The sequence below is a fragment of the Homo sapiens genome, chromosome 4 (genome assembly GCF_000001405.40).
Source record: "Homo sapiens chromosome 4, GRCh38.p14 Primary Assembly".
Taxonomy (NCBI): Eukaryota; Metazoa; Chordata; class Mammalia; order Primates; family Hominidae; genus Homo; species Homo sapiens.
In genome coordinates this window covers 170,084,389-170,107,761 of record NC_000004.12, presented here as the reverse complement: position 1 = coordinate 170,107,761, position 23,373 = coordinate 170,084,389, and the positions used below count along the sequence as shown (strand labels likewise).

Here is a 23,373-nt window from a genome sequence, read left to right as displayed (position 1 = left end):
TCTTTTATGGTGATCTGTGATAAGCGATATTTGATTTTACTACTGTAATTGTTTGGGGGCAACAAGATTTACACCCATATAAGACACCAAATTTAATACATAGACAGTATGTGTGTTCTGACTACTCCACCCTCCAGCCATTTCCCACATCTCTCTTCCTCTCCTCAGGCCTCCCTATTCCCTGAGATGCAACAATATTGAAATTGGGCCAATTATGAACCCTACAATAGCCTCTAAATGTTCAAGTGCAAAGAAGAGTCATGTCTCTCACTTGAAATCAAAAGCTAGAAATGATTCAGCTTAGTGAGGAGGGCATGTCAAAGGCTGGCAGAGGCTAAAAGCTAAAACTCTTGCATCAGACAATTAGCCCAATTGTAAATACAAAAGAAAAGTTCTGGAGGAAAATTAAAAGTGCTACTCCAGTCAACATGTTACCAGCAGTGAATCCATATGGCCTGCAGCAACCTCAGTTCTTGCCTCCTCAGAAGAAATAATTAGACCACGGAGGCATAAGGCAGAAGGAGAGACCGAGGCAAGTTTTAGAGCAGGAGTGAAAGTTTACTTAAAAGCTTTAGAGCAGGAATGAAAGGAAGTAAAGTACACTTGGAAGAGGGCAGAGTGGGTGACTTGAGAGATCACTTGATGTCGCCTGACATTCCTGGTGGGGGTTGGGAGCCCTGTCCTGCCCTGCTCATGTTTAACTAGCTACCTGCTATAACATTTCCCCCTCTGGAGTCCAAGACTCCAATTCTTTGGGGAAAATGGATGAAGGTCAGTCTTCTGTAACTGCTTCCTGCAGACAGAGGGGCGGTGGTGGTGGTTCTGTGGGTCTTGGCCTCCTACTAGCTGTCAGGGCAGGGTTGGCTCTATGGGTTGTAAAAAAGCAGTATCCAGCCAGGCCTAAGGGAGACAGGGGCAAGATTTTGCCTCTGTTGTGTCCCATTGATGGGCAGTCTAGAGGCCCGCTATAGAAGGGTAACTCTTGAATATTTGAGAGGTCAGTATCCTTCACTGAGGATCATCTGGAGCTTGATGACCTGAAGGTAAAAGGGGACAAATCAAGTTATCAGATTTAGAAGAATGGTTAAAAAGAAAAAAAAGAGGAAGATAACAGCTCCAAAAAATCCTAGGGCTACCAACACACCTAGGTAGCTGGTGGGTATAGTCACACCTGCTAAGACTTGGGTGCATGGAGTTGCTAGCTGATTATAATACATGCCCAGAATTAGAATATTGATCCAGATTTTTACACTACCCATCCATCTTTTCTTCTGAGCTGCAGCCAGAGATCACTGATTGTTTCACAGGAATAAGAAGGGTTAGTCTAAATTGCTGACAAAACTCAAAAATAACTGATGAGACTAGAATCTAAATACAGGTGTACTGTAATTCTTGAAACATAATTTTTCTCTCTCCAATCCTCATTTTTATTAAAAACAAATCATGATAGGACTGATTTGTTTGTGAAATAAGCTTCAGTCTTAATATACGTGGCCTGGTTGTTTGCACAAAGCATAACAAGAATAATTATTTGCCATTTAGCCTTCTGATACAGTTTTGATTTCTGTCCCCACCCACATCTCATGACAAATTTTAATCCCCAGTGTTGGAGGAGGGGCCTGCTTGGAGGTGATTGGGTCATGTGGGCAGTTTCTAATGGTTTAGAACCATCCCCCTAGTGCTGTCTGGTGATAAGACGTCTCCAGAGATCTGCTTGTTTAAAAGTGTGTAGCACCTGCCCGCCTGTCTCTCTTTCTCCTACTCCAGCCATGGTGGATGTGCCAGCTTCCTCTTCAACTTCTGCCATGGTTGTAAGTTTCCTGAGGCCTCCCCATAAGCAGAAGCCTGGAGAGCTGGCAGAACCATGAGCTGATTAAACCTCTTTTCTTTATAAATTACCCAGGTTCACGTATGTCCTTATAGCAGTGCGAGAACAGACTAATACAGCTCCTCTTTTCCTTCTTTCATTTGTTCTCTTAAATTTCTTGCATCAATGTTTTACAGTTTTCTATGTAGAGATCTTTCACTTCTTTGGATAAGTTTATTCCTAAGCATTTTATTTTATTTGTAACTATTATAAGTAGGATTACTTTCTTGATTTCTTTTTCAGATTGTTCACTGTTGGCATGTAGAAATGCTACTGATTTTTGTATGTTGATTTTGTATCCTGCAACTTTACTGAATTTGTTTGTTAGTTCTAATAGTTTTTTGGTGGCATCTTTAGGATTCTCCAAATATAAGATCATACCATCTGAAAACAAGAATAATTTGACTTTTTTCTTTCTAATTTGGATGGCCTTTATTTATTTCTCTTGACCGATTGCTGTAGCTAGGATTTCCAGTACGATGTTGAATAACAGTGGTAAAAGTGGGCATCCTTATCATGTTCCAGATCTCAGAGGAAAAACTTTTAGTTTTTTGCTGTTCAGTATAATGCTAACTGCAGGTCTGTCATATTTGGCTTTTATTGTGTTGAGGTATGTTCTTTCTATCCCCAGTTTTTGAGGGTTTTTTTAATCATGAATGGGATGTTGAATTTTATCAAATGCTTTTTCAGCATCAATTGAAATGATTATAAGGTTTTTGTCCTTCATTCTGTTGATAGGATGTATCACATTGATTGATTTGTGTATGTTGAACCAACCTTGTACCCCTGAGGTAAACTCTGCTTGGTCATGATAAATGATCTTTCTAATTCACTGATGAATTTGGTTTACAAGTATTTTTGAGGATTTTTGCATTGATGTTCATCAAAAATATAGGCTCATTGTTTTCTTTTTTTTACGTGTTTTTGTCTGCTTTTGGTATCAGGGCAATACTGGCCATATAGAATGAGTTTGAAAGTATTCCCACCTCCTCTATTTTTCAGAATAGCTGGATAGGATTTGTACTAGCTCTTCTTCAAGTGTTTGGTCGATTTCAGCAGTGAAGTCATTGGATCTCAGGGTTTTCTTTGCTGGGAGACAATTACAGCTTTGATCTCATTACTTGTTATTGGTCTATTCAGGTTTTTAATTTCTTCATGATTCAATCTTGTAGCTTTTATGTGTCTAGGAATTTATCCATTACTTCTGGTTTTCCAATTTATTGGCATATAAGTTGCTTAAAGTCCTTTGAATTTCTGCAGTATCAATTGTAATATGTCATCTCTGATTTTATTTATTTGTGTCTTTTTTTCATAGTCTGGCTAAAGGTTTGTTAATTTTTTTGTTTTGTCAAAAAAACAACTTTTTATTTTGTTGATCTTTGGCACTTTTTATTTAAGTGTTATTTATTTATACTCTGATACTCATTATTTCTTTTCTTCTACTAATTTGGGGTTTGGTTTGCTCTTGCTTTTCTAGTTCTTTAAGATGCATTGTTAGATTATTTGAAGTTTTTCTACTCTTGATGTAGGCACTTTTTGCTATAAATTTCCCTCTTAGTATGGCTTTTATTGTATCCCATAGGTTTTTGTATGTTGTTTTTCCATTTTCACTTGTTTCAAGAAATTTTTTAATTTCCTTCTTAATTTTTTCATTGATTCAGGGGTCATTCAGGAGAATATTGTGTAATTTCATGGGTTTGTATAGTTTCCAACATTTCTCTTGTTATTAATTTCTAGTTTTATCCCACTGTGGTCAGAGAAGATATTTGATATGATTGCAATTTTTTTGAATTTCTTGAAAAACTTGTTTTGTGGCCTAACATATGCTCTATTCTTGAGAATGATCCACGTGCTGAGGAGAACAGTGTATATTCTGTAGTGTCTGGATACGATGTTCTCTAAATATTTATTAAGTCCATTTGGTCTATAGTACAGATTAAGTCGGTTGTTCCTTTGTTGATTTTCTGTCTGGATTATCTACCCAATGTTGAAAGTGGGGTATTGAAGTATTTAGCTATTATTGTGTTGGGGTCTATCTCTCTCTTCTTAGCTCTAATAATATTTGCTTTATGTATCTGGGTGCTCCACAGCTGGATACATATATCTATTTACAACTATTATATCCTCTTTCTGATTTGGTCCGTTTATCATTATATGATGACTTTCTTTGTCTCGTTCTAAAGTTTTGTCTTGAAATATATTTTATCTAATATAAGTATTGCTACTCTTGCTCTCTTTTTGGTTTCCATGGTTTCCATTAGCATGGAATATCTTTTTCCATCCCTTTATTTTCAGTCAATGCGTGTCTTTATAGGTGAAGTGTGTTTCTTGTAGGCAACAGATCATTATTGGGTCCTACTTTTTTTCATCCATTCAGCCTCTCTTTGTCTTTTGATTGGAGAGTTTAGTCCATTTACCTTCAACTTTATCAATGTTATCATTAACAAATCAGAACTTACTACCATTTTGTTATTTGTTTTCTGCTTATTCTGTGGCCTTCTCTTTCTTCTTCCTTCATTCTTTCCTTCCTTCCTTCCTTCCCTTCTTCCTGTCTTCCTTCTCTCTTTCTTGCCTTCCTTTTTTGTGAAATTGATATTCTCTGGTGGTATGTTTTAATTTCTTGCCTTTCATTTTTTGTGTGTCTGTTGTAGGTTGCTTATTTGAAGTAACCATTATGCTTAATGACATTCTATAACCCATTATTTTAAACTGATAACAACTTAACTGATTGCAAAAACAAACCACAAGCAAAGAAAAAACTAATAAAACCTCTATACTTTAACTTCATCTTCCACCCTGCTTTTTAACTTTGTTTTTTCTATTTATATATCATTATTTTGTCTATGTCTTAAAAAGTTGTTGTAGTTATTTTCGATAGATTTGTCTTTTAGCCTTTCTACTCAAGATATGAGTAGTTAACACACTACAATACGGTATTATAATATTCTGTATTTGTCTATTACCAGTGAGTTTTGTAGCTTCAGATGATCTCTGATTGCTCATTAACATCCTTTTCCTTCATTTTCCTTTTTTTAATTTAATTTTCATTTTTTAAACATTTCATTGCTTTTTCTTTTCTTTTTTTTCTTTTTTCTTTTTTCTTTTTTTTTTTTTTGAAACAGAGTCTCACTCTGTCACCCAGGCTTGAATGCAGTGATGCAATCTTGGCTCACTGCAACCTTTGCCTCCCAGGCTCAAAAGCTCAAACAATCCTCCCACCTCTGTCTACCCTGGAACAAGAAGGGAGCCTGCTATCTAAAGGGAAGGACCCAGTCCTGGCTGGATTCACCACTTGCTGGTTAAAGAGCCCTTGGGCCTTGAACAAACATCAGTTGTAGCCAGGCAGTAGTTGCCCGGGGCCTGGGATGGTGATGGCCACAGGAGAGGGTCTAGAAATGTTGTCCAGGAATTAGGGCCTAGAATCAGGAATGTTAGAAATCTACTTGGTGCTTCATTTTACTGTAGCTGAGGTAGTACCCAGGTTGCAAGACAAAGTCCTTTTTACTCTTTCTTTTCCTTTCCTCAGGCAGAAACAGTTTCTCCCCATGGCCACCGCTGTCCCAGGCCCTTCACGACTACTGCCTGGCCACTGCTGATGTTTGTTCAAGACCCAGGGACTCTTTAGTTAGCAGATGGTGAATCCTGCCAGGACTGAGTCCGTCTCTTCAGTACAGTAAGCTCCCCTCTGGCCCAGGGTGGGTCTAGAAATGTCCAGGAACTAGGGCCTGGATTGAAGAACTTCAGGAATCTACTTGGAGCTTCATTTTACTGTGGCTGAGCTGGTACTGAAGTTGCAAGACAAAATCCTTTTAACTCTTTCCTCTTCCTTCCTCAAGCAGAAGGAATCTCTTCACATGGCCATCACCAGGCCACTGGCAATAACTGCCTAGCTACCACTGATGTTTATTTCAGGCCCAGGGGCTCTTTACTCAGAAGATGGTGAATCCTGCCAGGACTGAGTCCTTCACATCAGTATAGCAGCTTCCATTCTGGCCCAGACTGGGTCTAGAAATATTGTCCAGGAACTAAGGCCTAGAACTGGGGACTTTAGGAATCTACTTGGTGTCTTATTTTACTATAGCTGAGCTGCAACCCAATTTGCAAGACAAAGTCCTTTTTACTCCTCCCTCTCCTTTCTTCAAAAAGAGTCTTTTCCCATGGCCGTCACTGTTCTAGGTCTGTGATGAGTACTGCCTGGCTGCTACTAATGTTTATTCAAGGACTACGGGCTCTTTAGTCAGCAGGTGGTGAGTTCTTCCAGGACTTTGTTTTTTCCTTCAGGGTAACAGGTTCTTTTCTGGCCCAAGGTGGGTCTAGAAATGTTATCCAGGAGCTAGGGCCTGGAATGGAGACTTCAGGGATCTGCTTGTTGTTTTATGTTACTGTGGCTGGGCTGGTATCCCAGTTGCCAGACAAAATCCTCTTTACTCTTCCCTTTCCTTTCCTCAACCAAAAGGAGTCTCTCCTAGAGCTGCAAGCTGTGCTTTCTGGAGTTAGGAGAGGGGTGACACTAGCACTCCTTTGGCCACCCCAGCTGGTGTCTCACTGGGTCACACGCACTGCAAGTCCTGTGAGTGGCTCTGAGCCCAACACCGCACCAGAACTTGCCCAGGAATTGCGGTCCTTGTGGCCTAGACTGCCTTTCAAATTTATTTGGGACTACAGAGTGCTTTAGCTCATGGTAAGTGGGGCTAAACAGAACTGAGTTTCTGACCACTGGCATGGACAATTCCCCTTTGGCTAGGGCTGGTCTAAATGGTCCCTCCGTGGGCACTTAGCAGCTGAATTCTGTCTATGTTGCTTTCTGCTGTGACAGAGCAGCACTGAGTTTCAATGCAAGATCCCACAATCACTGCACTCTCCCTCCTGCAAGCACACAGATGCTCTCTCCATGCCACACAGCCACTGCTGAGGGAAAGGGGAGGGGTGATGTAGGCAATTCAAGACTGTCTTTCCTACTCTCTTTCGTGCCTCTTTCCTTGACATGACATTAAAACCAGGTACTGTGATTGCTTCTCTGATTTTTAGTTCTTATGAAGGTGCTTTCTTGTGGGCATAGTTGTTCACTTTGGTGTTCCTGTAGGAGGGGACAATCACTGGAGGGTTCACTTGGCCATCTTGCTCCACCTCTCCACTCAGCAATAAAATATTTTTAAATTAAGGTATGTATATTGATTTTCAGACACAATGCTGTACACACTTAGTAAACGACAGTATAGTATAAACATAGCTTTTACATGTACTGGGAAACCAAAAAATTTTCATGACTCACTATGCTGAGATACTCACTTTATTACAATGGTCTGGAACCAAACTCACAATATCTATGAGGTATGCCTGTATATATATGCACATGTAGAAGTAGGTACCAAGAGCAACAATTTGCCACAACAAATTTTATGCAGAAACTTGCTGATCTATTTTTCTCCCTTTACTTCAAACACAAAACACAATAGGGCATTAAATATTTTTAAAACATAAAAAGACAAAAGTGAGTTCAAAAACAATTTAGAAATCTATATGAAACCAGAAATAGAATGGAACTACACAGTGGTGTCTGGGATATGAAAACACACATCTATAGGGCCTGAGCCTCAGTATAGGCTGTCCACCCTAACTCAAAGAATTGTTTCTGAATGGATTCCATTTATGAACAGCAATTTCATAAGCCTCTGCAGGCAGCCAACCAAGGCTTTTTGCACAGGGATACCGACCCTCCCTGCCTTTCTAGTAACTTTCCTCTCCCTGCCCCAACACACCCCAGCCCACCCAAAGTTTCCATTCTTACCCATAGAGGTCATGATGGAAATTTGGGCCCCAGTTCCCTGCAGCATGTGCAGCCTCTCCTCATATCCTGGGTGGTAATCATAGGTGCAGGCAGTGAAGATGCGCAAGCTCATGTGTCTATTCTCCCTCAGGAACCCAGCCATTTCCTGGGCACAGTTGAAGCAGGAGCTCCAGGAGATGAAGCAGGTGATCCTGTAGCACTGGGCCAGGTCCAGATGCCAAGAAGAAACCAGGTCCAGGAAGCACTGCTCCACATGGTGGCCTTGATAGCCATTGAGAATATTCCAAGCCTAGAAAAGAAAACAAAGACATTGGTCACTTGTGAACAGGGAGGAAGAACCTGGACCAGATGAGACTAGGGAGGCAAGGAGCCTCCAGCACAAAATTAGAAAAGGCACCAAAATCTCAGTTATCAGAATGAATGAATTTCTATAGAATATTTAAAATGTAAAAATTGAAGCAGCAATTCCAAGACGAATAAATATCAACCATTTAAATACAAAGAGATAGGGAACGAGGATGTTTTATTTTGCCCCAACTCCAACATACTCAACACAGCACTGTTACTATGTCTTCTTCTTCTTTTTTTTTTCCCAACTATTTGTCTTTATTTAAAATCTTTTGGATGACTTCTGGTATTTCAACACCTGCAAGGGAATAGGACTGATATGGTTTCACTGTGTCCCATCCAAATCTCATCTTGAATTGTAGCTCTCATAATCCCCACATGTCATGGGAGGGACAACATGGGAGGTAATTGAATCATGGGGGCGTGTTTTTCCCATGCTGTTCTTGTGATAGTGAATACGTCTCACAAGATCTGATAATTTTATAAAGGGCAGTTCCCCTGCACACATTCTCTTGTCTGCCACCATATAAGACATGCCTTTGCTCCTCCTTCCCCTTCTGCCATGATTGTGAAGCCTCAGCCATGTGGAACTGTCAGTCCATTAAACCTCTTTTTCTTTATAAATTACCCAGTGTTATGTATGTCTTCATAGCTGCATGAAAATGGATTAATACAGTAAATTGGTACTGGTAGAGTGGGGTATTTCTATTAAGATACCCAAAAATATGGAAGCAGACTTTGGAACTGGGTAACAAGCAGAGGTTGGAACAGTTTGGAGGGCTCAGAAGAAGACAGAAAAATGTGGGAAAGTTTGGAACTTCCTAGAGACTCGGAGGGCTCAGAAGACGGAAGATGCAGGAAAGTTTGGAACTTCCTGGAGACTTGTCGAATGGTTTTGACCAAAATGCTGATAGTGATATGAACAATAAAGTCCAGGCTGAGGTGGTTTCAGATGGGGATGAGGAACTTGTCGGGAACTGAAGCAAAGGTGACACTTGTTATCCTTTAGCAGACACTGGAGGCATTTTGCTCCTGCCCTAGAGATCTGTGGAACTTCGACCTTGAGAGAGATGATTTAGGGTATCTGGTGGAAGAAATTTCTAAGCGGAAAAGTGTTCAAGTGGAAGCAGAGAATAAAAGTTTTGAAATTTTGCAGCTAACCATGTGATAGAAAAGAAAAACCCATTTGCTGGGGAGAAATTCAAGCCTCTGCATAAATTGGCATAAGTAACAAGGAGCTGAATGTTAATCACCAAAACAATGGGGAAAATGTCTCCGGGGCATGTCAGAGACCTTCATGAAAGCCCCTCCCATCACAGGCCTGGAGGCCTAGTTGGAAAAAATGGTTCCATGGGCCAGGTCCAGGGCCCCCCTGCTGTGTGCAGCCTAAGGACTTCATGCCCTTGTGTCCCAGCTCCAGCTGTGGCTAAAAGGAGCCAAAGTACAGCTCGGGCCATGGCTTCAGAGGGTGCAAGCCCCAAGCCTTGGAAGCTTCTACATGGTGTTGAGTCTGAGGGTGGAAAGAAGTCAAGAATTGAGGTTTGGGAACCTCTGCCTAGATTTTAGAGGATGTATGGAAACACCTGGATGTCTAGGCAGAAATTTGCTGTGGGGGTGGGGGACCTCATGGAGAACCTCAAGTAGGGCAGTATGGAAGGGAAATGTGGGGTAGGAGCCCCCACACAGGGTCCTCAGTGGGGCACTTCCTACTGGAGCTGTGAGAAGAGGGCCACTGTCCTCCAGACCCCAGAATGGTAGATCCACTGACAACTTGCACGGTGCACCTGGAAGAGCCGCAGACCCTCAACACCAGCCTGTGAAAGCAGACACTCAACACCAGCACCTGAAAAAGCCACAGACACCCAACACCGGCCTGTGAAAGCAGCCAGAAGCGGGGCTATACCCTTCAAAGCCACATAGGTGGAGCTGCCCAAGGCTGTGGGAGCCCATCTGTGACATCCTGTGGACAAGAGCCACAAACCTCTACAGCAGAGCTGATTCTACCTCTCTTGGAATTTTGGAGGAAGCAATGAATACTGCCAGAAGAAAGGAGAGAGTACTAGGAGAGAAAACACTACCCATTCAAAATGTCAAAGACATGGGGAAAGCAGACACTATGAAATATGTCTCAACAGATGGGAATTCACTCTCATGAAGATGAAAATAAGAAAGCAATATGAGAAACGCCTAAAAACAAGTATATTTAAGACCTGAAAGAATTAGTGGTGAAAATGATATCCCCTTTTCAAAATCTAAATAAAGCAGATGAATATGTGAAAGAATCACAAATATGGAAAAGAATTCATCAGAATCCTAGAAACAAAAAATATTTTCATTGACATTTAAAACTTGGCTGGGTGCAGTGGCTCATCCCCATAATCCCAGTACTTTGGAAGGCCGAGGTGTGTGGATTGCTTGAGCTCAGGAGTTCAAGACCAGCCTGGCCAACATGGCAAAACCCTGTCTCTACAAAAGCTACAAAAATTAGTCAGGCATGGTGGTGTGCACCTGTTGTCCCAGTTACTCGGGAGACTGAGATAGGAGGATTACTGGAGCCTGGGAAGTCAAGGCTGCAGTGAGCCATACTTACACCACTGCACTCCAGCCTGGGTGACACAGCAAGACCCTATTTTCAAAAAAAGGAAAAAACAACTGAGAAAAATGTGCAAACAACTACAAATAATTGAATTTAAAAATGAATACTTGAAAAATATAACTACAAAATCCACAAGGACACAGCACAGTGAGAGTCATAAAATATGAAAGATGTTAAAAGAAATGAGGAATAGACTGACAAGATTTAAAATACATATAATATAAACAAGTATCCTACATACGATGCATGTAACAGAAAAATGGCATTATACCAAATGAACATTAGCTATTTAACAGCTGAGCAGCCAGCATCCTGAATGACAAGGACAGCATTCCACAGAGTCATCCTATGGTCTTCAGTCTAAAGATATATTGTGTCTCTTTCCAAAGACCATACCCATAGACTCAACACACAAGGGTGTTGATTCTGAACAGTTCTCTAAGATGATACTATTTCTATTTAATTATGAAGTTCTAGAGTTGCCTACCCATTTCATGACAAGTAATATCTGCCATCCCTCAAGCTTTGACTGACCGTTCTATTATGATGGTTACACTACGGACCTCAGTACATTTCTGTCTCTATCAGAATCCAGTGGTTATTTTTGTGTTTCTCTTCTGCACTCCAAAGTGCACCCAAATTAATGACTGAGATCTCCAATATACATAACCTCAATAGGGATATATTGGCCATAAGGCAAGGCTGTCCACCTAACTCAAAGAATTATTTCTGAGGTAGATGCCATTTATGAATAGCAATTTTTTCAAGTTACTATGTGATGTGGTTTGGATTTTGTCACCACAAAAACTCATGAAGTTTAATTACCAGTGCAGCAGCATTGGGAGGTGGAGCCTAATAGGAGGTCTTTGGACCATGGAGGCAGAACCCTCATGAATTGATTCATGCCATCTTATGAGAGTAAGTTTTCACTCTCACAGGACTGGATAAGTTACTGCAAGAACAGGCATTATGAAGTAAGCCCAGCCTTTAGTGTTTGTCTCTTTGCATATGTCCCCTCAGTGTTCCACTTCTCTGCCATGTCTTGACACAGCACATGGCCCTCCCCAGAAGCTGATCAGATGCAAGTATCATGCTCTTATATTTTCCAGCCTTCAGAATCATGAGTCAAATCAACCTATTTTCTTTATAAAGTACCCATCCTCGGGTGTTCTGCTTAGCAACACTAAATGAACTAAGACACTAAGACACAATCTCATGCTTATTCCTTGATGAGACATGGGCTAGCATAAGAACCCAAAACAGTCTTAAAGCAATTGAGTGTTACTCGTATTAGTTAGCGGTAATTGAATCTATGACCCCGGAGTTGCAAGATAAAAGATATAAGTTTATCCTCTTAGGAGCCCTTCGGTCTTTCTCAAAACATTCCCTTCCTTTGCTGTCTTTCTCACTGTAAACTTCTGGTTGTCCTCTAATCTCTCAGACTATTACATATTAGGCTCCTTTAGTCATTGACTATAGTGGTCTGAATAGTCTCCCAAAAATCGTGCACACACACAACGTGTGAATGTGATCTTATTTGTACAAGTTGCACATCTCTAATCCAAAAATTTGAAATCCAAAATGCTCCAAAATCTGAAACTTTTTGAGCACCAAAATGATGCCACAAGTGGATGATAAAGATAATGTTAACTCAGCAGGAAAAGTGTCTATAGCTGACATGGTGAAAATCTGTGATGGGCTTTTTTAAGCACTAGAGCAGCATGCATGTATAAGAGAACAAGAAACCATGTCAGCTTATGAAATCAAAGAGTGCCTTCTCAGACAAAAACCATTGTTAATGAGGTGAGGCAGATGACTCTGGAGGACAGATTTTTAAAATCCATCCAGCAGATTGACTCCTCATCCCTACGGGACCCACTTTCTGGTCCTTCAACTGCTTCTGACATTTCTTCTCATCTAAAATATAAAATATGGTCTACATAACCTTAATCAAAACACAGCATCATATCTAGAGACTGAACTCCTGCCATTGTTTGCTGTTACTGCTGTTTAACAGCTGATACAGGTAATGTGCTGATGCTGCTGTGCTGCTCAGTTGACCTAAACACATTATTTCTTCACTGTACTAATGATTAACAAAATATTTTACTGTTAATTACTATGTGTGAATAATTATAAGAAAATGATTGCCTATCAGTAGCATATAAACTCAGAGTCAGGAATGATGATGATGCCAAACAACCACAGAGGGCCTACATGGGTGGTTCAATGTACATGAACTTTGTTTCATGCACAAAATTATTTTAAATATTGTATTAAATTACTTTCAGGCTATGTGCATAAGGCGTATATGAAATGTAAATGAGAATTTCATGTTTAGGATTGGGTTCCATCCCCAAGGTATCTTATTATGTATATGCAAATATTCCAAAATGTAAAGAAATCCAAAACCCCCAAATACTTCTGTTCCCAAGCATTTCAGATAAGGGATACTCAAGAAAAGAAAAGGAGAGGGGAGGGGAGGGGAGAGGAGAAGAAGAAAAAGACTTCCTTCTCTCTGCTTTCCTTAGCAGCTTGTACCTGCCTCTGCCACAAACATTGTATTATCTGAAATTGTTGATGTCTTAATGTACAAACAGTTCCTTTTCAAGAGTAGTGACTTGTCATAGTTATCTTTTTAAATCAATTACAGTTCCTAGAACAGAGTAAGAATTCAGTAAATGTTTGGAGAAAGAATCTGGTGTCTTTAATTCCGTCCTTGGGCAGTCCTAAGCCAAGCTTCTAAAAAGGCAACACTGAGCTATGAACCTTGCTCATTTATCTTAGTCCCTCAGGAGAAGCCTTCTGCTGTTGGTGCCTGACAAATCCAAAGTCTAGTTTCTCTGGCAATCAAATTTACCTTCAGTCTTCAGCTTCTATTGTCTGGTAAGCTCTTCCCAACTTAACCCTTGCTTGTCCCTTCCCCACCACTGTGACTATATTCTGCCTTGCATTTGCTGATCATGACCCCCCAGTGCCCCTGCATTCCATTAGCCTGCCCTGATGGGCCATTTCTCTGCCTCTCCATCTGGCCTGAATCATCAGCCAGCTTGCAATCAATCAGCACCCCCAACCGTCTCACCAGTACAACTCCAGGACAGGCCAAATAGAAAATTCAGCAAACTGTTTAAGGGTTGAAAACCTGCACCTTAGGATTTGATGCTCTCACAGCTCTTCAGTTTGGCTTCCTTAAATTGTGTTACCACTGATTGGAAAGGGGGTAAAAAAATCAATTAATTACGTATTTTTAAAAATGCCTGTGTGAGGCCAGGTGCGCTGGCTCATGCCTGTAATCTCAGCACTTCCGGAGGCCAAAGTGGGAGGACTACTTGAAGCCAGGACTTCAAGACTAGACTGGGCAACATAGGGAGACCCTGTCTCTACAAGGTATTTTAAAAAATTATCCTGGTGTAGTGGTGTTCACCTGTAGTCCCAGCTACCCAGGAAGCTGAGGTGAGAGAAATGCTTGAGCCCGGGAAGACGAGGCTGCAGTGAGCTATGGTTGGCGCCACTGCATTCAAGCCTGGATAACAAAGTGAGACTCTAGACACTCTGCCTCTCAAAATAAAATAAATAGCCTGTGAGTAATAAATACTACAAATCACAGACGGGTGCATCAACGTGCTTACAAAAACCTTTGGTCTTTTCCTTGGCCCAGCACTCCAAATTCCTTTGACCGAACAGGTTCCTACTACCAAATGGAAGAAATTTAAATTGAGACAGAGTCTCGCTCTATCCCCCAGCTCAATCCCCCACTGGAGTGCAGTGGCGTGATCTCGGCTTCAGCTGACTCCAACCTCCGCCTCCCGGGTTCGAAAAATGCTCATGCCTCAGCCTCCCGAGTGGCTGAGATTACAGGCATCTGCCACCAAACACCGCTAATTTTTGTATTTTTTAGTAGAGATGGGGTTTTGCCATGATGGTCAGGCTGGTCTCCAACTCCTGACCTCAGTTGATCCACCCACCTTGGCCTCCCAAAGTGCTGGGATTACAGGCGTGAACCACACCTCCTGGCCAAAGTTTAAATTTTCTTCTAAGTATCTAAGGAAACCTTGCTCAGTTAGAGTCCTCCCCTATCAAAAAAAAGCCTTAAGTCCCCAGGAACATCAACATATCTAGTTACAAGTTACAATTTACCTTGATCTACACCTTATTTAGATGTTTCCGGTGCTTGTTAACTTCTATAAAAATTCAGGAACTACTTTTAGAATGGACAAGCTCAAACACATAAGGATCTGTGTGCATGGATTAACTGAGAACAGGCCTTAAAAGTTGCCAAATAGCTTTAGTCAAAAACATTTGGAGGCTGAGGCCTTAAGGTTTGCTTAAATGCATGTTACTAACAACAGCCAATGTTCATAGCGTTTTTACAACGTGCAGACCACTGCACTGATTAGTTTAACACAGATTATCTCATTTATTCCTGTCAACATGCCTGCGAGAAAACCAATACAGAGAAAGGTTAATTAACTTGTCCAAAGACACCCAGCTATTAAGCCATCAAATGGGATTTCAACTACTTGAAGTCTCTGAACGCAGAAGCATTTTGCCTCGTGGGTTTCTAACAGGTTTACTAGATACTGTGCCTGGAATTGGTGGGGTTTTGGTCTCACTGACATCAAGAACGAAGCCGCAGACACTCGCGGTGTGTTAACAGTTCTTAAAGTCAGTGTGTCCAGAGTTTGTTCCTTCTGAGGTTCGGATGTGTTGGGAGTTTCTTCCTTCTGGTGGGTTCGTGGTCTCACTGGCTGCTGGCGTGAAGCTGCAGACTTTGGCGGTGAGTGTTACAGCTCTTAAGACAGCTCGGCTGGATTTGTTTACTCCTCCCTGTGGGTGCGTGGTCTCCACGGCCTCAGGAGAGAAACTGCACACCTTCGCGGTGAGTGTTACAACTCATAAAAGCAATGTGGACCCAAAGAGTCAGCAGCAGCAAGATTTATTGCAAACTGCGAGAAAACAAAACCACCACACGCTGCAAAAGTATCCAAGCGGGTTACCGCTGGTGGCTGAGGCAGCCTGCTTTTATTCTCTTATCTGGCCCCATCCACATCCTGCTGATTGGTCCATTTTACAGAGAGCCAATTGGCCTGTTTTTCAGAGCTGATTGGTCCATTTTGACAGGGTGCTGATTGGTGCGTTTACAATCCCTGAGCTACACACAAAAGTTCTCCAAGTCCCCACTAGATTAGTTAGATACAGAGTGCTAATTGGTGTATTTACAAACCCTGAGCTAGATACAGAGTGTTGATTGGTGCATTTACAAACCATGAGTTAGATACAGAGTGCTGATTGGTGTATTCACAATCCCTTAGCTAGACATAAAGATTCTCCAAGTCCCCATCAGATTAGCTAGATACAGAGTGCCCATTGGTGCATCCACAAACCCTGAGCTAGACACAGGGTGCTGATTGGTGTGTTCACAATCCCTTAGCTAGACATAAAGGTTCTCCAAGTCTCCTCTAGACTCAGGAGCCCAGCTGGCTTCCCCCAGTGGAGCCGGCACTGGGGCCACAGGTGGAGCTGCCTGCCAGTCCCGGGCTGTGAGCCCGCACTCCTCAGCCCTTGGGCGGTAAATGGGACCGGGTGCTGTGGAGCAGGGGGCGGCACTCGTCAGGGAGGCTCGGGCAGCGCAGGAGCCCACGGGTGGGTGGTGGGGAGGCTCAGGCATGGCTGGCTGCGGGTCCGAGTCCCACCCCGCTGGGAGGCAGCTGAGGCCTGGCGAGAATTCGAAGGTAGCGCCGGTGAGCCGGCATTGCTGGGAGACTGGGCACACCCTCCGCAGCTGCTGGCCCGGGTGCTAAGCCCCTCACTACCCGGGTCTGGCGGAGCCGGCCCGCCGCTCTGAGTGCCGGCCCGCCAAGCCCACGCCCACCCGGAACTCTAGCTGGCTCGCAAGCGCCCGCACAGCCCTGGTTCCCGCCCGTGCCTCTCCCTACACACCTCCCCGCAGGCTGAGGGAGCCGGCTCCGGCCTCCGCTATCCCAGGAAGGGGCTCCCACAGTGCAGCGGCGGGCTGAAGGGCCCCTCAAGCGCGGTCAGAGTGAGCGCTGAGGCCGAGGAGGCGCCAAGAGTGAGCGAGGGCTGCGAGGGCTGCCAGCAGGCTGTCACCTCTCAATACTTCCTTTTTGTTATTTAGCTGCTAGCACAAAGATTTTACTGGGTTATCTCAGCCTTTTGCTGCCAGGACCTAGATAAAAGCAGTGGCTCCTTGACCAACCTATTAGGTAAACTTAAAAGAGAGCCATTTGGCAGTGAGTCAATAATCATCTAGGAAGTACTCAGTAAATTTGTGCTGAATGAATGAATCTGTTCATTCATTTTAATAACCATTAAAGAATTTTTTAAAGTCAAAGAGAGGTTGTCTGAAACCCTTCCCTCATTAAGTGCTCACATTAAACCTTGTACATTCCATTTTGGTGATTCAGGAAGGAGAAATTGCAGAAAAGTTGAGGGAGGTGGGGAGTAAGAAGGGTTATTTTGTAAGAAAAAAAAAGGCAAGGTGCTAGACCCAAAAAGATCCGGATATTCACTTCCAACATAATTCTTATTTAACGAAAGGTCAGAAATTCAATGTGAGGGTAGACACTAAAATTGAAGAGACTCAGAGTGATTTTTCAAAAATTTTTGTCAGAACTCCATCGTCACTCCAAAATGCTGAGATCTTCGAGAAAGTGATGTTGAAATTCGTCTTGGTCGCCGGGATGCTTCCCAGGAGAGTGCCCAGAGTTTCACTAACGAAAGATGGGTATTTAGCATAGCCATGGTCTGAGCGGGCAAAATGCACAGTCCCAGTGACTGAGAGGAGGCCAGCGGAGCGCGCGGGAACGAGGGTGGGGCCGCTCCCGGCTGGGCGCAGCTCGGGAGCCCCCTGCAGTGGACCCAAGTCGCCGCCAGATGGTTCCCGAGGATTAGGATCACGGGCACTTCCGGTCCCCTCGGTCAGCCCCTGGGCTAGCCTCTGGGCCGGCGCCTAGGCCGGCCAACGCGGACGCCGGGTTGCGGTGATTCCCAGCGGCGAGGTCAAGAGTCATTGGCCTGGGGCTGCAAGCGCCTCGCGCCTGGGCTACCCCGCGCCCTGCGCTCTGAGGGCGATGATCCGGGACGGGGAGGCGCGCGCCGCGGGCGGCCATAGGCCACGGCGCGGGGCGGGAGGGGGCGCGGCGAGGCCCGCGGCGGGGCAAAACCGGCCTGGGCCCTGGCGGCCGCAGGAGCGCGTGCGGCGTGGACTTTGCCGGGCTCGCCACACAGCCCCAGACCCGTTTAGGACCGGGAGACCGAACGCAGCGTCCAGCCGGGGAGTTTCGGCGGCGTTCTCCGGGCACCGCGCGCGGGAAGCCAGACGCAGCGGGGGGACACATCTCGCGGTGGCGTTGCCAGAGTGAGGAGTTAGCAGGCAGGACTTGACGAGGCTCTTTGGTTTTTCTAGTCCTCAACCACTGAAGAAGAAGCTTGATGCTTGGCTGTCAGAAGACATGAATTACGCACGGTTCATCACGGCAGCGAGCGCAGCCAGAAACCCTTCTCCCATCCGGACCATGAGTGAGAAACGGGGTGACCATCTCTCCTTTGGGGTGGGGCATTCCTCGCACAGCCTCTAAGGAGGGTTCCCTAGCAAGCCACCGCTTGGTTGCATCCATGCGTACCCCTGTGCACGCTCGCGGTGAGCCAGGCTCTGCGTGCAGAAATGAAATAGACACAGCCTTTGTTCTCAAAGAACTCGGGCTGAAACGGAAGGCGGGTATTTCTGCTGGAGCAGAGTAGGAGCAACAGTAGAGAGAGGCGCAGACTGCTGTGGGGCACGGCCTTGGAAGGGAGGGGGCGTGCTATCAAGAAAGGCTCTTCCTGGGAAGCTGAGAAGGGGCATGCACAGCGTGCAGATGGGTGTACAGTGGAGAGGGCCAGGTAAATGGGAGAGGGGTGGGCCATGAAGCTCACAGACAGGTCGGGGCTAAGTGGAGGAGGGCTTCTGCTATTGTGGCCCTTTGCTGTCTTTCTGATCCCTCTGCCTTCTCTTTGGTCACCTTCATTCTTTAGTCCCTCCACAAGTGAGGTGCCTAGAAAAAGTTATTCTGTATGTTTATTTTAGACTAGCTTTTGTCTTAGTCCATTCAGGCTGCTATAACAAAATACCACAAACTGGGTAATTTATGAACAATAGAATTATTTCTCACAGTTCTGGAAGCTAGGAAGTCTAAGATCAAAGTGCCAGCAGCTTCTGTGTCACCATGGTGAGAGCCCTTCCTTATAGACAGAGCCATCTTGCTGCATCCTCACGTGGTAGAAGGGAGAACCTATGTCCTCACGTGGCAGAAGGGCCAAGGGCATTCCCTCAGCCCTCTTTTATAAGTGCACCAATCCCATTCAGGAGGGTGGATCCCTCCTGACCTAATCACCTCTAGAGACCCCACCTGTTAAAACTATCACATTAGTATTAACTTCCAAGTATGAATCTGGGGGAGCACCAACATTTAGACCATAGCACACTCTATCACTAGAAATCGTTAAACTTTATAGTTTTATTGACTATAATGCATGCTTAACTATCCGCTTATAACAATCTTCAATGAAATTGTTTCTTCTCTTCCATGTGTATTGTAGCTGACATATTGAGCAGAGGACCAAAATCGATGATCTCCTTGGCTGGTGGCTTACCAAATCCAAACATGTTTCCTTTTAAGACTGCCGTAATCACTGTAGAAAATGGAAAGACCATCCAATTTGGAGAAGAGATGATGAAGAGAGCACTTCAGTATTCTCCGAGTGCTGGGTAAGTATCAATACTTAACATAATTTTATTGGCTTATTTTCATAAGAAATATTCTAAGGCCCATTGATAAAGAATATTAAAGAAATATTCTAAGGTCCATTCATAAATATTCTAAAGCCATTGACCCATTTGGTCATTCAATGACCAAATACTCAGTCATTGAATACTAACCAAATGAGTATTCAATGGTTAGGAAGGTCTGGGGAAAGGTTTTCAAAGGATAATTAAGAACAGAAAGGATATTGAATGTTTAACACTCCTCAGTGATTGCTTCTCAATCGCAAATGACCAAGAAGGCTTCTAGAAGGAAATACCATTAGAGCTGAGTCCAAAAAAATGAGAAGATGTCCAGGTGAAACAAACATATCAGGAGAAATGAAGAAACGGAAGATCCAGGAAGCTTCAACTTTTTAAAGTTTAAGCATCCTGGATCTTCCGTTTCTTCATTCTATAGTCTAAACAAGCAGTCATGCAAATACATTGAATATAGTCATTCATTTCTATAGTCTAAACAAGCAGCCATTCAAATACATTGCCCTCATAGGTTCAAATGTCTTTAATTTCTTAAAGGCAAGCTGAAACATATACCTTGACTTTCTTAGCTGGTCTTCTTCAAGTGATAAAGGATAATTTATAGAGAATCTATAAATTATACTTTATTAAAACCTGCTTTGTTCTGTGATTGAAAAGTGTATTGAAATGTTATTCATGTATATATGTGTTAGTTATGTAATATGTTAAATATACATAGGCTTATTCAAACATTCCATGATACAAACAACTTATTGAGTCTGAACTTCTAGGTAGCCATAGAACTCTTCCTAGAGAGAACAAAGAATCGATTATGCAACGCATGCGCTAAAGACTTCAGGTTTGGAATAAGAAAGATGTAGATTCAAATCTCAGCTCATTTATTACGTAATTGACTTTCTGAGAATTTCTGGCTGAATGACTTACAGGAATTTCCTAATCTCTAAGTCTACTGCCTATCTTTTAAATAGGAATATTCATACTGGCAAAAAGCATTTGAGGGTTTTTTAATTGAGTGTACAAAGTGCTTGATAAAGCTGTCATTTATTATTTCCTGTCTACTACTGTTACTATGATTTTTACTACTATGAATTTAAATATACATTTTTTGCTTTAGAATTCCAGAGCTTTTGTCCTGGCTAAAACAGTTACAAATAAAATTGCATAATCCTCCTACCATCCATTACCCACCCAGTCAAGGACAAATGGATCTATGTGTCACATCTGGCAGCCAACAAGGTCTTTGTAAGGTAAGACTGAAAGGAAAACTCAGCCAAAATGTAGAATTGGAAGCATTCATTTCTATAGTCCTCTCGCACTTAACCACAGAGAATTATATTTTATGGATTACTGGTAGTCTTTCTTGTCTTCACCTAGAATTATAAACAGGGAACTAAAAGACAAGTCATAGGATGGGGGTGGGAGCAGTTGTGGCCGGGGATGGGCAAGGGTGGGTAGGGGGTGTTGACTGTAAGCAAAAGCCAGGTGGAAATATTGTAGGTTGATCTATCAATATTTCCCCCTAGTTTTCCTCATTGTGAACACAAGGACTTTGAAAAATTACCTGCTCTTAACATCATTCACTAGCCTAATCTTTCTTAAATATTAAATACAGAGCATGTGGTCAATTACCCAGACCTATTAACCATTAAAGCAGGATGCCCACTAAGGGAGTACTCAACTCCTACCAAAAGCTTAGTGAACACTGCTTAATTTCATCTGGCTCAAAAATTCAAGTTACGTTTGATTTCCGCCTATAGTTAGGAAATTTCAATACAATTTTTAAATTTTTTAGAGGGCATGCTTTCATATTCCTGAGATACACATATTTATATTCTTTTACATATCTGTCTGTAGAATCTCTCCTTGCCACTGCTTGTATCTTGTCCCCCTCTTGGGTGTATTTCTCTAGATCTATTTATATGTCTGTATTTCTGACTTCTTATATGGATTGGTTCTCTCTCCCTCTCCCCCTGGCATTAGTTATTCCATCTTCTTCCCTTCTGGGTTCCGGGAACTCCACAGATGTAAACACCACTGGTTAGTTGCCACAATAAAGAGACCACATCTGTGGTCCTCAGTTTGATCTGTTATTTTCTTTTCTTTCTTTTTTTTTTTTTGAGACAGGGTCTCACCCTGTCACCCAGACTGGAGTGCGGTGGCGCAATCACGGCTCCCTGCAGTCTCGACCTCCCTGGGCTCCAACAATTCTTCCACCTTAGCCTCCCAGGTAGCTGGGACTGCGGGTGCACACCAATATGCCTAGCTAATTTTTATATTCCTTTGCCATGTTGGACAGGCTGGTCTTGAGCTCATGGGCTCAAGCAGTCTGTCCACCTTGGCCTCCCAAAGTGCTGGTATATTTTCTCCTTTGTTTTCCATGAATAATAAGATTCTCTATATTCATTCTCAGATCTAAATTAATCTATGACTCCCATTTATCTTTATCTTAAACCAGAGTAGTTTTCTTTTTCATGGAAATATGAAAACTGTAATCTGGTTTGCTTTAATGAATTTTAATTAAATTATTGTTACAGAATAATGGGTTACAGTAGTAAAAACATTTTTTAAAGTTTTTAAAAATTAAAAAAACTTACCCTTTTTGTATTTAATTAGGAAAAGTAAAAGAATTAGCTAGTGTTTGAGTCTTTGCTTGAAGAGAAACATTTGTGATTGTATAGAATGATATAAGAGTATTTTTTAATGAAATAAATTCTTTCCTCAAGAAAGGATACTATGGACTTTTTCTTCCAGAAAGTTGCTCAAGACAGTTTCTTCTTTATCCATCACAACACCAGTTACACAAAAAAGGAAGATAGCATAGATTGCTAAATACGTCAATAACTTACTACTTACAGACATGCTTATTATAGGGGCACTAATATGTATCTGGTTTAATATTTCTTCCACTTTGTTCTCCAGGAGTCATGTTATTTTAGACTCCTGTGTTTCTCTCTCATCTTTTAAACAGTGCTCCCAGATGATAAACAGCCTTCCCTTCTAATTTAGGATATTTGAAATTTGTATGTCCCCTAACTGATATGAAAAATATATTTACAGTTGACCCTTGAACAACGCAGGGGTTTAAGGGCAATGACTCCATGCAGTTGAAAATCTGCATATAACTTTTGACTCCTCCAAAACATAACTACCAATAGGCTACTCTTGACCAGAAGCCTTACTGATAATATAGTCAATTAACACATATTTTATATTTTATATGTATTGTACACTATATTTTTACAATAAAGTAAACTAGAGAAAATAAAATGGTATTAGAAAGTCATGAGCAAGAGAAAATATATTTACCATTAAGTGGAAGTGGATCATCATATAGGTCTTCATCCTCATCTTCATGTTGCTTAGGCTGAGGAGAAGGAGGAAGAGGAGGGGTTGGTCTTGCTGTCTCACGGGAGGCAGAGGCAGAAGAAACTGTGCGTGTAAGTGAACCTGTGCAGTTCAAATCTATGTTGTTCAAGGATCAACGCTAATTAGGTTTTCATTTGATCTGTTGATATGTACGTGCTGCCACCCAAGTGATTCCTTTGGTCCTAGGATGTCTTGTAAAGCTTAAGTCAATTAGAAACTTTTCGGAGGAGGATACTGTTTGTCATAAGATGCCAAAAGCTCATAAGGAAAAGGTAAATTCAACATCACAGGTCAGTTGGGGAACAAAAGTCAAATCTTCTATCTCAATTGATAATGGCCCTACTGTTTGTGGTGAGATGTGGGTTGTTAAAGTGATAGGAAAAAGGACTCAAACTGGGGATTGTGAAACATCACAAGTTAAGAAGCAATTATTCTGTGACTTATGTATGATTTAGTCATAATAGACCCCTTTGATTTAGGCTGGAAAAATCTATTGCCTGGCTCTAGTGATTGTAGTAGAAATCATATTATCCACATAATTTACAAAGATTGTCAAACCTTTTATTACTTGACCTAGAAATATTCTTTAACTCCGTTGATCTCCCCAT

The 23,373-nt window shown here is 42.4% G+C and overlaps 1 protein-coding gene and 1 pseudogene across 8 annotated transcripts in view, besides 2 other annotated features; one reads left to right on the top strand and one right to left on the bottom strand.

Moving 5' to 3' along the window:
* Positions 7,658–7,944, bottom strand: APOBEC3AP1 (apolipoprotein B mRNA editing enzyme catalytic subunit 3A pseudogene 1; annotated as a pseudogene).
* The window catches only part of AADAT (aminoadipate aminotransferase), a 34,071-nt gene continuing 24,167 nt past the window's right edge, over positions 13,470–23,373 (top strand). Inside the window, exons 1-5 of one of the 8 annotated variants that reach the window (XM_006714231.3) lie at positions 16,067–16,168; positions 17,231–17,344; positions 18,026–18,138; positions 19,198–19,366; positions 20,514–20,646. In XM_006714231.3, coding sequence (XP_006714294.1) covers positions 17,274–17,344; positions 18,026–18,138; positions 19,198–19,366; positions 20,514–20,646 — 486 coding nt within the window. In that variant the 5' untranslated portion in view covers positions 16,067–16,168; positions 17,231–17,273. Of the gene's footprint in view, positions 13,486–16,066; positions 16,169–17,230; positions 17,345–17,374; positions 17,619–17,805; positions 18,151–19,197; positions 19,367–20,513; positions 20,647–22,768; positions 23,038–23,373 lie in introns of those variants that run through there. The other 7 variants (XM_047415763.1, NM_001286683.1, XM_024454077.2 and 4 more) reach the window with 7 other exon arrangements.
* Positions 15,696–16,390: an enhancer, noted in NCBI's record as "H3K27ac-H3K4me1 hESC enhancer chr4:171012523-171013217 (GRCh37/hg19 assembly coordinates)". NCBI's record gives its function as "activates a minimal SCP1, AML or CMV promoter by ChIP-STARR-seq in naive H9 embryonic stem cells {active_cell/tissue: H9 hESC(naive)}" and the evidence as "EXISTENCE:reporter gene assay evidence [ECO:0000049][PMID:30033119]".
* Positions 18,290–18,584: a silencer, noted in NCBI's record as "tiled region #13980; K562 Repressive non-DNase unmatched - State 24:Quies". NCBI's record gives its function as "represses a minimal TATA promoter and a strong SV40 promoter by Sharpr-MPRA in K562 cells {active_cell/tissue: K562}" and the evidence as "EXISTENCE:reporter gene assay evidence [ECO:0000049][PMID:27701403]".